Genomic DNA, 17,903 nt, shown 5'->3' on the forward strand with positions numbered 1-17,903 from the left:
TTTTCCAACTTCAATCCTTCCCTCTGCATCCAGGGCCCAAGCCAGAAAGAACCACAAACCACAAAACAACAACCGGATCCGAAGAGAACTGCTGTGATTTACCAAACCCCCAATTATTTTTCATTGAGTTTCTTTTTATTCTTCCAAAACTAAGAAAATAGAACAAAACCCAAACACCAGAATAAAGGGTAAATCGAGAGAACAACCTTGTCCTTTGTTTCCCAGGGTCAGGGTCATTGCCAGAGTCCCTGGTTCCTGCTCTTGGCCCTCTGAGGGTCAGCTCCCATAGGAAAAGGGCTTGGGGACTCAGGCCCGAGCCCCTTGGGGTTCAGCAAAAAGAGCCAGGCCAAGAGCTCCCTCCCACCTTCCTCTCAGCTCCCAACCTTCCCTGTGTTCCCACCAGCACTTCCTTCATCTCCATTCACCTTTGTCTCTGCAGGGCCCACCCAGCCCAGGTGCTCAGGAGCGCTCTAGAATTGTGAATGGCTGTGTGGAGTCTGGTTTCAATTCCTGAGCTGTTTAGATGCCTCATCACCCACATCCCACATCTCCCAGAAGGGGGATGGCAGCGCCACTGCCCCAAAGGGGAAATGAGGGAGAACTGGAGGCCTCTCCCCTCCCCTCAGCTCTGTGACCCCTCTGCTATCCATCCGGGCCCCCACTGGCTGGGCAGAGGTGTGGTTTGTAGGACAGGACAGGAATCGGGTTGTCAGAACTGTGCCACCCCTGCCAGCTGCACTGTGCGACTCGCAGGCCATGGGGAAGGTGGATGACCAGTTAGCCCTTCAAATCCTCGCAGCACAGCCCTCCTCGTGCTGACCTCTGCAGCCCAGTCCTGCACAGAGCCTGGCATCCCCAGCAGGCTTTGTGGAGGTGAATGAATGACGTGATGTGAGCCAAATGATTCCAGGGCCTCTCGTTCAAGTAATCTATCTCTGTGTTTAAGGCCCCTTCCATAAGCAACTCTTTAACCCACAGGACTGATTCTAATGGTGGAATGTGAGGCATAGTTTCAGGCAGGGAAACTAAGGATTGATTCAGCTATAAGGAGGCATCTTGGAACCTTCAACCCACCCCAGGCCAGCTGGGGCTTTATTCTGCCTAAAGAGAAGCCCTGCTCCCAGGCAGTCAGCCAGAATGGCCACAGCCGCATGCTAAGAGCTAAGAGCAAGAAGCACAGTGGGGGTCTGGCCCCAACCGGCTTCCCTTTCCTTCCCCCGTGAGCTGCTCCGGCTCACCAGCCTCGACCAGGAAGCCTCCTGATGTCAGAAATCCCAGACCCCAATCCACAAGCTGTCCCCTCCCTGTTCTGCCAAAACAACAGGGCCCTGATTCAGAGGCAACTGGCTCTGTCATGGGCATGGGGTGGAATGCCCCAGAGGAGAGCAGGGAGGGAAAAAAGGAAGGTAATTCTTAGGGAAAGAGGAAGTAATTCTTTTGCCTAATGCCAGTGTAAACTTGGAGCAGAAAACTTTAAATCCATTGCCCCTGCCTTCCCCCAACCTATGATTCCCTCCAGCCTCCTCTCTGTGAAGCTCTCCCTTCAAGAAGCAGCTGAGATCCTTCCTCCTCCAGGAAGCCTGCCCTGATTATTACAATTCTTGTCATCTCCTTCCTCCGCAGTTAATGACACAGAACCTCTCTCATGTTAACAATGACCAGGCTGGGAGCACATTAAAGGCCTGCATGGACAGCACTGCCCTCATCTCTATGTTCCCCACGCCCAGTCCGAGGTTCAGAACACAGGAAAGACTCAGTAACTGACCAGGCAAAGCCAGCGCCCTGCCCAGAGCAAAGCCCAGGACAGGGGATCTGCAGCAGTGCGCCCGGTCCAGAGTGGCACTCGGACCTCGCACTGAATTCTCACAACTCTGTTGTGTGCTCAAGCATAGAAGACAGTCCCCTCTGTCACAACCATTCAGTCCCTCGGTGTGACATTCAAAGGTGCTCTGAGCACCCACTGTGCACCAGCCTCTGCTCTGGGTGGGCGCTGGGGAAACACTGGGAGTGAAACAGGCACAGACGCCTGCCCTCTGGAGCCCACGTCCCAAAGCGGGTGGGCACAGGACGAACAACAAATACCTGAACATATAGATGGCTGGGACTTCAGGGGATCAGGCGATATGAAAAAAAATAAGGCAGATAAGGGGACAGGGAATGACCCAGAAGGGCTTTTTCAGAAAAGAATAATCAGGGAAGGCTTCTCTGGGGAAGTGGCATTTGATCCTAGAGTAAAAGCAGTGAAGGCATGAGCCATGTGAACATCTGGGAGAAGAGGATTCCAAAGAGAAAGAACAGCAAGTGCAAAGGCCCTGAGGTGGGCACAGGCTTGGCACTTGATGTTCGAGAATGAGCAAGGAGGCCAACGTGACCAGGGGGCAGTGGGGAGAGGGTTGATGCGATGAAGTCAGAGAGGGCCTGGAACACAAGATCAACAGGACCTTATCGACCACGGTGTGGACAGGGAAATGAGGGGCCACAGAAGGGTTTGAGCACAGCACAGGCAGGGACTCATCACCAGAGAAACCTGAGACTTAGAAGGACAGCCACGTGCAAAGGCCACAGCAGCTCACAGCAGCAAGTCCCATCGACAAGGCAAGCACATCTCATCAGCCCTTGGGCCTCCCTGCTCAGCCTAGAAAATACCCCACCCTGACCTTCCTCCTCTCCCAGAGCCAGGGGACCAGCCACCAGGCTCACGCTTGCCTGGATCTCCTCCATCCAGCAAGCCCCAACCATGCAGACCCCCAGGCCTCTCCTCCCCATCCCTACATGCCGCCATCTCTAGTTTTCCAGCACAAGACCCAAGTGGGCAAGTGTCTTTGTTTGCAGCTGTTACTATTTTGGCCTTCGCCACTAATACTGCTTCTTCCTCTCTCCTCCCTCTTCCTGTCCCCTCAACAACCCAGCACTGCCCTGGAAAGCAGGGGCCACTGGCTTAGCCCAATCAACATCCAAACTGCACCGCATGAATATAACTGTGGTTGGTGGGGAGACTTCCATCCCTCGGCTGCACCGAGGTCAGGCACTGAAAAGAGGCAGTGAGTGATACCTGAGAAGCAATCACCCTCCACAAGCTTAGGAATCAGGTCGAGTCTCCAATCTTTATTTCTATATTTAAACCTAAAAATAACCCTGTAGCAATGACAGAGTTTTTACTAGAAGTCATGCCCCTAACCAGGAAATAGATCCAGGGGCTAGCTTGTGTCACCCTAAGGAACAGAGGGGTGGCTGGGAGAGCCAAGTGTGAAGGACTGGGTGGAACCCAGACCTCCTGGTTCCCATGCTGGTGGCCCAGCCCGGGGAGAGCAGCTGTCCAGGCTCTCCTGGGACTCACCATCATCACCACCAATGGGCGACCAGTGCCTTCTCGGGAGAACTGAGAGCCTTAGCTAGACACCACGGCCTGCCTGTCAGCATGGCTCGGCCCCAAATGGCGTGGGCTGGCATTATGGGCTGGCATTTCCCAATTACCACAGATAATATCTACCTTAATTGAATGGGGTCCAGATAATGTCATTATGCACTGCGTTCCCCAATTTATTTAATATACGTGTGTACACATACATTGATGCCTCACTGCTGCCACGAGATTGCTAAATGGTGAGGTTAATAATAAAACATTTTGACAGGAGTCATCAGCTTTAATTTAAGGGGTGATTTTTACTATCCTTGTGGTGCTCGTTTTTCCAAGGAGCCAAGAGAAACATGGACAGACTGGAACAGTCTCTCGGGCCTGCAGTCGAGGGGCGGGGGTGGGCAGGGCCGCGGGGTGGGCTGGCTGCTAGCTAGCAGGCTTCATCTCTTCTAAGCAAGTTCCATTGACATGCCTCCCTTCCAGGAGCAGGCTCAGGCAAGGCAAGCCAGGTGGAGGGGAGAAGTGGGAAACCAAGGCAGAAGCCCCCAGGGCAGGCAGGGAGAAGGAATTAGTTGTGAAGGAGGAACTACCAGCCTCAGGTTCATCTGGGAGGCAGCAGGGAGAGGGAGCCCAGAGAGAGTACACAGAGAGAGGAGAGACATAAACAGCTCGCAGGACCAAGAAAAAGCAGCCTGCACTCTACAGGGACCAAAGGCAGCAAAACCCTCTAACTTAATTTTTTATAGTCCCCTGCTAACTACAGCAGAGGTGACACTTAAGAAAATGAGCCCTCTCCGTTCTTTCCAGGAGCCATCAGTCTGAGTGGGAGTGACAGAGAGCTGGTGTCCAGTGCTCCAGGCCCATGCCCACCAGTGCAAGCCCCTTAGGCCCGCCAAGACAGCCAGCAGCTCTTCTGCAGCCCCGGTGAGTGGGGCCAGAGCTCCAATGCCAGCTCCCCACATGCCTTCTTCAGGAGGCAAAGGCAGCCGCCACTCTGCAGAAATGAGATAACCTGCCAGCCAACAGCCGGCAGGCCCAGCTGTCCAGGCTGCCAGTGCGTCCTGCCCACTGGAAAGTTGGGTTCTAGACCGAGCAGAGGAGGACAGTGGGGTGGGCAGATATCTTGGGGTGGGTGGTAATTAGAGGCTGCAGGCTCCACACTTGTCTAGGAGAGAGGACACGTCTATCGGCAGTAATTATTCAGCTAAGGAGCCTGTGGGTTCTGCTCCCATCTTTTGCTGCCAGCTGTCCCCCGCAGCAGGGTGGGGATGGGTGTGGCCACACATCCTGGCGCTGGACTGTGGACCCCTCAGGAAGTGAGTGGGAGCTGCAGAGCCCTTCTAGGCCTGAACCCGGCCCCCTGACCCTTCTGGCTAGCACACTGCTCAGTTCCAGTTTCACTCGATCGCTCACCCGCTCGCTCTCTCACCTACCTCGGGCTGCCTGCCGCTGTGCAAGGCGCTCCCTCTCAGAGAAGTCACGCCTCCAACGGAATGAAGCCGCCCAGACGCAGGTTGGGGGAGGAGGGAGGAGGGGGGGAGGAGGAGCGGCCTACGCAAGGCCACTGAGGCCCAGAAAGCAGCTCAACTCCTGACATGCTCCCGCCTCCCCTCCGCCTGCTCAGGACCTGTGCTTGGTGACGAGCTACATGCTGCCACCCCCCCACCAATATATCTCGCTCCTGAAAATGCCTAAGAATCCATGAGTAGGGTAGAGCACTCCTTTGGGTTAAGCCTTGCCATCTTCCTCTCCCGTCTCTCTTAAATGCAGATGCCCCTGGAAAGGGTAGTCCCTGAAGTGGCTAAGGTGCGGGGTGTGGGGGGGATAACTTTTGAGGTATTTTTGTCCCTGACAGGTGTGAAGGTATTGGCAGGTAGGCAAAAGCTTATGTGTAAAAGGACAGAAGTTGGAGGAACATAAAGACAGCGGCCACCCAATTCACAAGCGGACATCACGCCCAGCCCAGTGCTGAGCAGAGGCTTGGAGGCACCATCCTCAAAGCCCCCCGCCCACCGCACCCCAAGGACAGGATCTGACTAAGGGCTGGTGAAGCCCTCCAGGAAGTGAGAGAGGGGACAAGGCTCCAACCTCCACTCTCCACCGCAGCCAGGCCCATTTCGAGAGCCGGTTCAGCAGTCCCCAGGGCCTGCCAAGAAGAGGTGACGAGGCCCCTGCGCTATGGGTGCTCACACCCCAGAGTACCCAGAGGCCTCTGCGGAAGTTCTGCCACCTCCGAAAGGGCTCCTGCTAGTCCTCCCCTCTTCATGAAAGCTTCCCCCTACCCTAGGCCGGAAGGCCCTGAGGCCCTTCTGGGCTCTGAGGAGCTGAGCATGCAGAACCAGAGCCTGAGGTTCAGCATCCCATTGGGATCCGGGGGAAAGTGGGGCTAGCCCAGGACGCATCCCGGGAGTGTGGGCAGATGGGTATGAGAGCATTCTTCACGTCCACCATTGGCTGGCCCCGGGGCGGGAGGCTGAGCGCTGCAGAATGGCAGGGTGTGGGATGGGGTGCTCCGTATGGAGACCCTGGGAGCACTGGTCTCCCTGCCTGCCCTAGGCCCCCACTCACCCCAGAACGGACAAGGCGAGGGACTATGATGGGAACATACATGCCCCTCCCTCCCTGTCACTTCGGGCTTTCTGCCAGATTGACACAGGGGCAGCCACCGCTCTGAGAGACACGTGGCTTCGGGCACCCAGCTAGGCAAGCCCAGCTCAGTCGGTGTCCGGAAAGGCCGCGTTCTCCCGCGCCAGGGGCCGGCAATGGTGCGGAGAGGGGAGAAAGAAGCAAGGCGCCTCCTCCGACAGGGACTGAAAGTCTGAGGGCGGGATGTCACTCAAGGCCTAGGGGCAGGGGGCGCTCGTACGTTCGGGCCTCAGGACTCCCTGCCGCCGCCGATGCTGCTGCCCCATCTCAGCACAAACAGCCTCAGACCGCCCTGGTGCGGGGGCGCCTCTCGCAGTCGAGGCCTCCACCTCCCGGCCCCGCCCCCGCGCGGGGAGGAGACGCCTCCCACCTGCGAGCGCCGGGGAAGACCGACCCCGGAGCGGGGACCCCCAGCACACACGCGCGTACACACATGCACACACAGAGACCACTGCCGGTCCGCTCGCCCGGCGGCCGCGTAGACGCGCAGGTTCATCACGGTCCCGGGGAGGGACGGTCCCGAGTGTCCGGAGAGAGCCTGACCCTGAAGTCCTGGGGCTGCAGGGAGACCCCAGACCCTAGAGACCCCCACAACCTGCCGAGGCCACGGGCAAGCGGTTGCCGGGCTCCGGCCGCTGGCGAAGGCGGCGCTGGGGCGGGCACGGGAGCTGGACGCGGTGCCTGGGAAAGGAGCCGAGGCGCGCGAGGCTGGGTGCCCTCCCGCCGGGAGACTGCCGGGAAGAGGTGCAAATAATGCCCCGCGCCCCCGCCTGTCCCGCCTCTCCGCAGACCGGGATGCGCTAATGCCGCCGCCCCCACCTGAAAGCTGGCACGACCCTCCATCCGGTGGAAGCCCCTGTATACAGAGACAGTACTTTCCACCGGGCCCGCAAAAAAGCCTCTGCCCCATTCCCTCCCTCAGGGGCACCCGGAAAGCCTGCCTTAGCCCCGAGGGGAGACCCTCTAGTTCAGATCCCGCGCCCTCCGGCCCCTAGGGCTCCGGGGGCGCCAGCTCTCCTCGGAGCACTCCAAGCGCGGGAGCTCGCCGGAGGCCACCTCCCCGAGCCCCGATGTCCCCGCCGCAGCCCTCGCCCCAGGAGGCCGGAGGGCACGGTCCCCTCTGTCGGTCCCCCTCGGGCCACAACTCACCGCGCGCCAGCAAGGTTTAAGCCGCGGCGAGGGGTCGGCTGCGTGCCGGCCTGCCCCGGGGGCGCAGGCAGTCGACGGCCGGAGGCACGGTTCTCGCGGTGCCCAGAGCCCGGGCCGCGGCGGGCAGCGCTGACGCTGCGGACCCAGCGCGCCGCGGAGCCGCCCGGAGTCCGGGACGCAGCAGGGATGAGCTGGCGGCCGCCCGGCCGGAGCCGCCGCCAAGCGCGCGGCGTTCGGCTGCTGCTCCGGCAAGCGAGCAAGCGAGAGGGAGATCGGCGGCAACCCCTGCTCCTGCTGCGGCGGAGCCCGGCGTCCGAGCCGGAAGGAGCGGGAGAGGCGGCAAGAGGAGCTGGGTCTGGCCGAGAGCTCCGGGCTGGGAAGGGAGCGGAGCGGGAGCGACCAGCGAGCGCAGCCGGCCGAGGTACGGGCGCCTGGCGGCGCCGCAACAGCGGCAACAGCAGCAGGAAAAAAAATGAGAGCGAGCTAGAGAGCGCGCTGGAGAGCGAGCGAGAGAGGGAGCGAGAGACGAGAGAGCGAGGAAGGCGCTGAGAGGGGAGGCTGCGGGAGAGGGCGGGAGAGCCGGGAAGCGCAAGGGGGCGAGGGGGCCGCAGCCGCTTGCCCCGGCGCCCACAGCCGCTGCTGCACCCGAGGAGGCACGAGACCAATCCGGCAAGTTTGCGCTGAAAGTGCGGGCCAAGCTCACGGCGCTTCTGCCGGCCTTTTAAAGAGAGAGCACCTGGAGCCCACCCCCTACCCCACACCTCCACCTCCGGAAGGCCAGGGCTCTCGCGGCGCTCCGCCACCCCTCCACACCCGCCCTGCTGGCAGCTCCCCCTTCCACCACACCCCACCGGCGCCCTCTTCCGGAAGCCCCCCCCTTCCTCCTCCCCGTGCGCGTGCCAGCTCACCTACCCCGAGGACATGGCGGGGACCCCTTCTCACCCCAGAGGGGGAGGGTCAGGAACATAGCCTCCCTAACACACACCCAGAAAAGTACAGCAAAGCACAGGGACGCAGAGGGGCGCGCTACTCCCACCCTGGTGCGTCACTGGAACCTCACACATCCGCGCGCACGTGGCGTATGCCCCCATGTGGCATGTTCATTTGCACACCCCACTGCTCCTGATTCAAGTATATAACAAGGGGAGAAACTGAGGCCCAGTGAGGTGACTCCACTTGCCCCAGATCTCACAGCCTGTCCAGGGGACACTTTCCACAGAGCCCCCTTACCACCTCAAAACCCCACCAGGCTAGGGAAACACCCCACCCGCTGGTCTCCCTCCAGCACTGGATGGCAAAAGTGTAACAGGTGGCCTCCTGGTCGGCAGGCTGCAGTGAGACTCGGGAAGAATCCCTTAGCCAACCATAAAGCCAGCTCGCCCCCTTCCCAGAGGGGGCTTGAAAACTCTCAGGAGAGTGTTGCTAGAGGCAGGCAGCGTGGAAGTGAGGGAGCCACGCAGCCCTCTTAGGATTGCAAGAGCATCTCACCCCAGACTGCAGAAGCGGCTTCAATTAGAGCCGTGATGTGTGACTGTCCTTGTCCTGGGGAGGGAGCACAACACTGTGCCAGAGAGCTGGGGGAAGAAGGTGGCAGGCAGCAGAGCTGGAGAGGTTGGCCAGAGGCCTCCCTCCCCATCAGTACCTCGACCCCCGGCTGACCTGCCAAGTGCTACCTTGTGCTTGACGATGCCCAGGCCTGGCAGGACTCGGCCAACCCTAATTTCTACAGGGGAAATTAGGTGAGGGGAATGTCTGGGAGGGTCTGGGAATAACAGGGACAGACCCCCATCCCTTGCAACTGGACTGCCCTTTCTCCCTCCTTGCCCTTTTCCATGCTCCTGCCCTTTCCTGAAGACCTGCTTAGGCTCCACCTCCTCCAGATCTCCAGACTATGCTAGGCCAAAACCACATCTCGTTCAGCATCATTTGGCCATGGAGCCTGGCACCATGCCTGAACGGTAGCGTAAGCTCAAGGAATGTTTGGTGAGTGAATAAATGTTGGCAAAGCTTGCACTCTCTTTGCTGTCACATGTAATGACCCAAATACATGTCTCATTTACCCAATCGGTCTGAAGTCTCTGAGGGAAGCACCCAGATTGTTCATTCATTCATGCTTTTATTTTTTTTAATGCAAACAACACTGACTGAGGTCCTGCTCCATTCCCAGCTCTAGGTGTAAACACACGACTGAACGCAGTTCTGCCCTTGAGGAGTGCACCCCGTGGCCATTCGGACCTCAGCACCACACATTTTGTAGAGATATAAGCAAAGGCCTTGAAAGTTCCTGCTGCCCAGCAGCTCTGCCCAGCCAAGTGTGCACTGCTCTGGGCTTGCAGGGAACTCAAGTTATTCCTGGAGAGGCAGTGTTCTTGGGAACAGCCTGCCTGGGTTCAAACCCGCCTGTGTCACATGTGCATGTCTGGGTCACATTGCTCAAGGTCCTCAGTTTCCTATCTGTAGAACAAGGATTACGACACTAATCTCAAAGCAGAACTGCAGGTATGGGGTGTGCATCGTTCACTGCCAAGAGGCCACCCAGTTGAGGGGGCTCAGGACAGCTCAAATTCACCCTGCCTTGGTCTTGACAAGTGACACATCCTGACTTGTGGCTGTGTCTGCCCAAAAGATGGGTTTCCTTTTTCTGATCTTCTCAGAGGTACCATATGGGCTAGTGACTGGGGCCCTACTTACAAGGTGTTCATAAAAACAGAATGAAATAATGTATGCCCAGCACCTAGTACTGTATTTAGGCGGCTGTAAGTGGGAGCCACTGAAATTTTTAACACAGAACAGAATCCTCAATATACTTTTGTTGAATGAATGAATGAATGAATGAATGAATGAACTAATTAAAGTGAAGATAACATGGGCCATGGTTTATTGAGAGATAAAACAAACCCAGCCACTCTCCCCACCCCCTGCCCCTCAGTGTTGCTTTCACTCTGGCCATAATTATCCCACCCCCCGCCCCCCACCAGCTGTGTCGCAGAAGGCTGGGCAGGCTATATTTTTCAGGGGTTAAAAAAAGAAACACTGTTGGCTGGCAGATGGCTGAGTTTGTGGACTCGTCCAGTTTGCAGGTTCCCAGCCTGAGGCCTAGCTCTTCCGGGCAACATCCTGACCACCCCGGGCCTCCAGACCATCACAGTGGCCAAGCGCTCCGTCAGCGGCCCTCACCTGTGGGCCCCCCTTGCCCAGCTGGGGCACGCTCTTCTCACTCTTGTTCTCTCTGCTGGGTCGTGGCTGACTTGACTTGCCATGGAGACAGACTCAGAGACCCAAACACAGACTCACACACACACACACAGAGACACACACACAGACACATAGACTAACACACACACTGAGAGACACACACACACACACCTCAAAGAACTTCCAGTGGCGTCCCCTGCCCTGGGGGAGCTAGGGGACCATGCTGTGGGAGAAAAGCAATCAGAGATGACCTCAAGGAGTCATGTTTCAAGGGACTTGGCCTGGACCAGCTGCTCCAAGGCCTGATTTCTAACCGTGTCTCCAACAAGCTGCCTCCCCTGTAAGTCGTGCTCTGACTGGGAAGAGTTGGGGTGAGGGGAAGAGGACACAAGGTGGGAAACCAGGAAGCCGAGACTTCTGCGCTAAGAACCATGTGACGTGGGGGAGCCCCCCAGCCTCTCTGAGCATTGGTTTTCCCATCAGTGAGACCAGGGGCTGGGCCAAGGTCTCCCTAAGGATGCTGGGATTCAGAACTGGGTCTCACTCTTAAACCTTTAAAGGAGGCTGGCCTGCTACTCGTGGAGTAAGCAGGGAGTGATGCTGACCCGCCCGTTCCTGCACCAGTCCTCATCCAGGGAAATGGCAACACCATCTCTGCAGGGGAAGGGGAAGGGTGAAGGGAAGAGAGAGAGGCAGGGAGTTCTAGAGAAAATAATAATACAGAGTCCTGAGCCTGTGTTTCATACCTGTGTGACCTGGAAGTTCTTCCTGAGGTCTGACCTAACTCCCTCCTGCTGCATCAGATTGTTTCTTCCTGCTCTTTTTCTGGCCTCCCTGGTGAGGGAAAGCAACTCCCCCCCAACCTTTTGAAAGAATCCTAATAGAGGAGGACAATTGTCTTTGAAAATCCTGACCTTTAGGATTTGTTGAAATAAAGTGAGCCTGGAGGTGCAGATTCCCTGAGAGAACCGAGCAGACCCAGAACACCTGATAAATGCTTCCGTGTTGAGCTGACCCAGCCATCACCTCAGCCTCTGTGTCTGATGGGTTTCAATTTTGGTTTCCCCTAAACCAGGCCATTAGATGAAAATGTCTCTGATGGGGGAGTCTGTTTAAACAATAACTGTCCCCTGGCAGGACATTTTCAGGATGAAGAGCTGACTGCAAAGAGAATGCAGTGGCCCCAGGCTCTCCAGGGAGCCGTAAGTCACCCCGCAGGCACTGAGGAGGAGCCATGGGCTGAGGTCAAGGGGCTAGGGCCCCGGGTTAACAATCCTGGGGTAAGTTGTCCCTGTCCTGCCTCCAGAGGTCACCTCAGCCCCGCTCCTTCACCTCAAGGGCACTTAGAAATTCCCACAGCCTGCTCGGGACAGGCTGGGACAGGTATGAGTGACACCTTTGATGGCTAGGGGACAGAGCCCTGGGAATTTGCTCTTCCCTCAGGCCAGTATGAATCCAGCCTCCAGGAATCCTCCCACCTCTCTGGGACTTTCTCCAGCTTTTGGCTTGGAGTAATAACTTGACTAAGACTAAACTCCCCTTTCCACAATTCCAAAATCCGAAATGCTCTGAAAGCCACAAGTTTGTCCATAGTTTTCGGCAACTCAACTGGCAACAAAACTTGCATCAAAGCTATTCCCTGCCCCTGCCTAGTGCCTTGGTGGGGGAACACTGTCTGTTGCACTGCAGGAAGGCCAGCCCAAATTTGCTCTCAGGATACTGCCCCAGGCCTCCTGGGGGTATTGCATACTGTATGGCATTTGCACCATAATATCTTTCTAAATTCCAAAAAAGACCTGGCCCCAAGGGTCTCAGATAAGGGCCTTGCACCTGTAATCATCCCATTTGGACTAAGGGCTTTCCCAGGTACACAGCGCATTTGTACCTGTACCCCACCTGCCCTGGCAGGCTGAAGGAGGAGAGAGACTGGCTGGGGCCAAGCAGGCTAAGAGCAGAGAGAGCTGGATCTGAACACAGCTCTGCTAAATGCATTCACCCAGGACTAAGCAGGAGCAGGTAGGTGAGGATTTATGATAGAGTACATTTGGCACCAGCATGCTAGAGAGGCCTTCACACATGCTGCAGGAGCACCCCGCAAGAGTGGGGGTGCAGGACAGAGAGTTAGAGGCTAGGCTGGGGTCTCTGTCTCTTCCCACTTGCATGGAGGTCAAGGCAGCTGGGAAGGAGGGGATGCTCACCAAGTGGCTGGGGGGTGGGCAGAAGGGCTGTGAGTGGGGTGGGTGAAGGAGACGAGTGGTCCAAGGTCAACTTGAGCCTTTCCAATTGTCTGCTCCAGAGTTCCCTGACCTGAGAGATGATGCTTCCTCTTTCCTTCCCCAGCCTCAGTTTCCCCGCCTATAGGGCTCCCTGACCTGAGAGATGATGCTTCCACTTCCCTTCCCCAGCCTCAGTTTCCCCACCTATAGGGCTGAAGAGGGAGGGAATATGAGAAAGGAAAAGCAGAGGAAGCAGGAAAACTGCTTCTTCCTTTCCAGCGGCCACGGGGCAGAAGTTGAGAGAAGCCAGAGTGAAATTCCTCCTGCCACTGGGCAGAGAGGAGGAAGCACTTTATTCAAAAAGAAGGGAGGGATGGTGGGATTCGGGACTGCGCCTTATTCTCAGAGCAGGGCAGCAAGTGGTAGGCTGGGTGCTCAATGGGTCACCCCTAAAGCACAGGTCCTGGTGGTATGAAGCAGAGGACGCAGGCACAGGTCCTGACTGTGCCCCTCCCACGCCCTGCCATGCGCTAAGCACCTGGTGCTGCCTCCAGCATAAGAGTGGCCAGGAAGGCAGGGATGGCTGAGGCTGGGAGGTCAAAGGAGGCCTCCCCTTGAATTAGACCCTAAAAGACAAGTAGGATTTAGAAGAGCCGAGAGACCTAGCTAAGGGGGAGTGGGATACACGGCCAGACTGAGCACCTGGCCCTCCACTGGGCTGACACTGTGCCGAGTTTACAGTAAGAATTTATTGTCCAACAAATTGTTAAATGAATGAATGAACGACCCACCTAGAAAGACTCTTTCTCCTCCTCCTTCTCTCTCTTGGTCCTCTCCCTGTCTCTTTTTTCTTAAGACTCACGATTTTCCAGCCTCTTTGCCTCGCTGCAATTTAAAACAACTTATCATCTCTCTCTCCACATGTCCGGGGGCTGTCAGCCGTGAGCCAAATGTCATTAGCATGGATGTCACAAGCCGGGATGTCAAAATACAATTAACATTTAAAAGCCCCTTCCGCCCAAGACCTCGTGGCCGCCTGCTCCTTCGGCAGAGTGGCAGGGCTCCGGGCGCCAGGGGGAGCAGCCAGGTGACAGGCACGGGAGGGGCGCAGTCCACCTGGCCCTGGGAGGAGACCTGCAGGAGGCGGTGCCCTGGGAGGCCAGTGTCCTTGCTTCACTGCCCCCAACCTGGAGCGCTGCCCACCCCGCCCCCACCCCCACCCCACCCATCTTCCTCAGACCCTCCAATCCTTTTTCCGAGCTCTCCACTGCACTCTTCCAGGATCTTGTTGCACACACTCCACGAACAGACCAGTGTGGACACTGTCCACAGCACTCAGGGTCCTCACAAGTGAGTGTTCCATGGCACTCCACTACTTTGAGCCTTAGCGTCATCCACTGCCAAATGTGAGTCCCAATGTGGCAGGCCACTCGGGGCAGTTTGGGGGATGAAAGAATGGAGTGAGAAATGCTTTTCAAGGGCCAGGGACCTCACGACTGGGGCCTTAGATTGTGTCTGATGCCCCTGTCTTCCAAGCAAGCTCCAGGCCCCTTGGCACAGGGCAAAGACCACACAAGCTCGTTAACTGATCGGCAGTTGAGAATACCAGGTGGGCCCCTCTGTCAATGTCCCCCTACCACACTCTAGCCTTGGTTCTACTTAGGAAACTCCATGGACAATGTTTGCTCCTTCCCAAGCAGGACCCAGACAGCTGACAAGACAGAGAGCTGGACGTAGGCCCCGGGACCTCCCACCGGCAGAGCCTGGAGGAGCCCGCATCCCACTCAGGCCACCTCCAAGCCTGGCTGCTGCGGTATCTCCAGCACGGACACCAGGCAGGCTGCACTGCCCTGGAAAAAGTCCCATCAAGGCAGAGGAGAAGGGGTATTGTGGTCTGGTCCTGGGGCTGAGGTCACAGCTGCACTGCCCCCAACTCTGTCCTCCTCATTCCTGGGGAAACATGAGCTACAGGGGTGGGGAGGATTCTGCTCCCCTCGAAGGAGGCAGCAGCATTTCTGCAAACACCCCTTGTCCTCCTCCTCCTCTTCAGCTTTCTCCCTCTCTTCCTGTACCCACCTCCCAGCAACCGACCCATCACCTAGACCCCCCAAAGAGGACAAAGCAGTGCTGGGGAAGAAAAGCCCACACGCCAGCTCCTACCCTCGTGGGCTGCATTTTAATGGCGTTTGATTGGATCCGATGCGCTTTTAATTCCCTCCTGGGACATCAGAATGAGGGTAGAAAAGAATCTTTAATTCATCAAACTGAAATATTAATAGAATTCTAACCAGCTGGAGTGGGGTATGAGGCCCCCACAATGGAAGACAAGGGGGACAGGCAGGAGCAAGGTGGGAGGGTGGCTGGGGATGGGAAGGTGGGGCATCTCAGGAGGGCCAGGGCCTGCAGAGACCCAGGCTGGGGGTGGAGTAGGTGGCACACCGGAGCCCTTGCTGCATGCCAGGTGCTCATCAGAGTCTCCACAACAGCCCTGTGATGGACCAGCCAGTGCAATGATTCCACTCCACAAATGGGGAAGCTGAGAGGCACAGAGGAGGGAGGGTCCAGGTGTGAGCCCCTGCGGTGCGACCCTGGAGACCTCCTCACCTGCTGAGACATATGGACTCCACCCTGGACAAGAAGGGACCTTGGCAGAAAACCCAGGGCTCCCCGACGCACACACCCAGCTCATCCCTATATCCCCACCCCTGAGCCTCTCCTCAGCCCTCCCTACCTCCGGGATCTGCATCACCCCTTCAGGGTACAGACACGCACGCAGGGCCCAGAGAGGCCAGGGCTGCACAGAGATTTCATGCCTGGCTCAGTCTCTGGCCTCAGTCCCTGCCCCAGATTCTGGCCAGCCCAGCTCCAAGCCTCCATCCCCCACACTCCGGGCATCTCCATCCTCAGGACTGCTGGGAACCCCAAGACTGCCTTGGCTTGTCCCCACCAAGTGCTCCCCACCTGTTGACAAAACTGAATTGCCTGCCCAGGGGCAAAGCCTTTTGCCGAACACTGCAGAGGTCATGGCTGACGCTCTCCTGTGAGCAGCTGTGAGCGGGGAGAACAGAACCACAGGAAACTTGGGGGCACAAAAGTAGAAGCCAGGACCGGGTGTGGTGGCTCACACCTGTAATCCTAGCACTTTGGGAGGCTGAGGTGGGCGGATCACCTGAGGTCAGGAGTTCAAGACCAGCCTGACCAACATGGTGAAACCCCGTTTCTACTAAAAATACAAAAGTTAGCCAGGTGTGAACCCCGTTTCTACTAAAAATACAAAAGTTAGCCAGGCGTGGTGGCACATGCCTGTAATCCCGGCTACTGGGGAGGCTGAGGCATGAGAATCACTTGAACCTGGGAGGCAGAGATTGCAATGAACCAAGATCACTCCACTGCACTCCAACCTGACAACAGAGTGAGACTCTGTCTCAAAAAAAAAAAAAAAAAGTTGAAGCCAGGAAAGACCCCCTGTATTCCTGGGAGGCCAGCGCCAGGTCCAGGACCACATGGGGTGTTTGGGACTGTCTGTGGGTGCGGGCTGACCCTGGCACAGCACTCTCCCAAGTGTCACGCTCTGTGTTAAAGGCTAGGCTCTTTCCACAGCCACATTCAGCCGTATTCAGCCTGGGCTGTGACATTCCCCACTGCGTGGGCACTTGACCTCTCCAGCCCAGGTTTCCTCATTGGTAAGGAGAGGAAGATAAAGCCCACAGCTCAGGCTGCTGCGATGGCCCTGTGAGATGGTGAGCACGGCTCCCCGCACACACCTCCCCTCACCGCGGTCCTGCTCCCCGACCCCAGCCCAGCCCAGCCCCTGGGCCCTCTCGTTCTCACCTCTGTGGCCAAATTACCTTCTCTTCGGCACCCAAAAGCCCCCTCCTCAACTTTCAAGGCCCAGCTTAAGCAGCACCCCTAGTCCAGAATTCCGAGGCATCCCGCTCACTGGTCTGCCTTCCCAGACCGGAAGGAATGTGTCCCTTCCCACCCCATTTCTTTGGTCCAGCTGGTTTACAGTCCTTGGGCAACAAATGTGACATGGGTGGGTGGTCGGATGGACAGACAGATGGGAGGTTAGATGGACGGATGGTCCTGACTACACACACACACACACACACACACACACACACACACACTCTTAGACTTCAGGAAGCTCGTGGGAAATGCGGGACAAAAAGCAGCAGCAGGAGGGCAGGGAGACAGACACGTGGGGGGGAGTCGGCACCCCGGCCCGGCTCTCTGTGCCCGCAGAAGGGAGTGCCACTGCCCCGGGCAGGCCCCTTGCGCCGGCCTCCTCAGGATGGAGGGCCAGTTCAGCCACCCCAGAAACGCGGCAAGATCGCTGAGAAGAACGTGAGGAGCCTCGATTCCCGCGCGCCCGAGCGCGAGCCTAGCGCCCCACCAGCCAGGCTCCCCATCGCGGGCCAGCACCGCCGCCCGGTGGCCGAACGCCCTCATTGCACCCAGCGGCCGGGCCTGGGGCGGGTCCGAGCGGGACCCAGGCCCAGTCTACGCCTCCCACAGTGCTGGGCACCTCCCCGTCCCACGCCCGGGGACACGCCCGGATTGAGAGGCTTGTTTTTCACCTGAGCAGATTCCGGAAGGAGGCAGCGGGGGCGGCGGGGGTCTATTTCAGGGCTGCTTCCCAGCTGGGCGGCCGCCCCCTCGGATTCGTGCGCGGCCAGGCTCACCTGCTCTCCTGGCAGGGAGGGGCCTCTTGTGCGCACCCACACACACCGGCAAAATCCAAAGGACCTGGGCGGGAGGCGGCAGGTGAGGTTTCCTTGGTGGGAGGAAGGTGGGGTACAGGGGTGGGGTGCGATGCAGAGGCGTAGAGGGGAGCAAGGAGGGGCGCGCCAGCCGCAGGAAGCTGCAACTCCAGGCTCCCAAGCCGGCATCCTCCCACTCTCAGCATCTCCTGAGCTCCCTCTGTGTGACAGGCCGGCGGTTCGCAACCTCGACGCACATTGGAGTTACCTAGAGAGCTTTAAAATTTCCCTGTGTCCAGGCCGCATCCCAAACCAATTAAAATCTGTTTTTTTGTTTTGGGACAGACAGGGTCTCGCCATGTTGCCCAGGCTGGTCTTGAATTCCTGGGCTCAAGCGATCCTCCAGCAAAGCGCTGGGATTACGGACAGGAGCTGCGGCGCCGGCCTAAACCAGATTGTGTGCGGGAGGACCCAGGCTCCAGCTATCCCAGAAGATGCCAGGTGCAGCCACGCCTGAGACCTCCATGCCAGGCATTACAGGCGCTGCCAGGCATTATAGGCACAGCGTCGGCAGACTCTGGCAGGGGGTAGCCCCTTTCATCTTCATCACAGCCCCAGAGGTACATAGGGCGTTCT

At 57.9% G+C, this 17,903-nt stretch overlaps 1 protein-coding gene across 4 annotated transcripts in view, besides 2 other annotated features; it reads right to left on the reverse strand.

The window, feature by feature from the left end:
* GRM4 (glutamate metabotropic receptor 4) overlaps positions 1 to 17,688 on the reverse strand; it is a 136,980-nt gene extending 119,292 nt beyond the window's left edge. For 3 of the 4 annotated variants that reach the window (NM_001282847.2, NM_001256811.3, NM_000841.4), the window contains exon 1: positions 8,066 to 8,153. Coding sequence is in view for 1 of the 4 variants with exons in the window: in NM_001256809.3 (NP_001243738.1) it covers positions 17,145 to 17,456 (312 nt within the window). In the remaining 3 variants the exon portion in view is untranslated. Of the gene's footprint in view, positions 1 to 8,065; positions 8,154 to 17,144 lie in introns of those variants that run through there. The other variant, NM_001256809.3, reaches the window with a different exon arrangement.
* Positions 15,700 to 16,557: an enhancer, noted in NCBI's record as "H3K4me1 hESC enhancer chr6:34121411-34122268 (GRCh37/hg19 assembly coordinates)". NCBI's record gives its function as "activates a minimal SCP1, AML or CMV promoter by ChIP-STARR-seq in primed H9 embryonic stem cells {active_cell/tissue: H9 hESC(primed)}" and the evidence as "EXISTENCE:reporter gene assay evidence [ECO:0000049][PMID:30033119]".
* Positions 16,899 to 17,128: a silencer, noted in NCBI's record as "silent region_17059". NCBI's record gives its function as "represses an Ori minimal core promoter by ATAC-STARR-seq in GM12878 lymphoblastoid cells {active_cell/tissue: GM12878}" and the evidence as "EXISTENCE:reporter gene assay evidence [ECO:0000049][PMID:35858748]".

This window comes from Homo sapiens, chromosome 6 (genome assembly GCF_000001405.40).
Source record: "Homo sapiens chromosome 6, GRCh38.p14 Primary Assembly".
NCBI classification, from domain to species: Eukaryota; Metazoa; Chordata; class Mammalia; order Primates; family Hominidae; genus Homo; species Homo sapiens.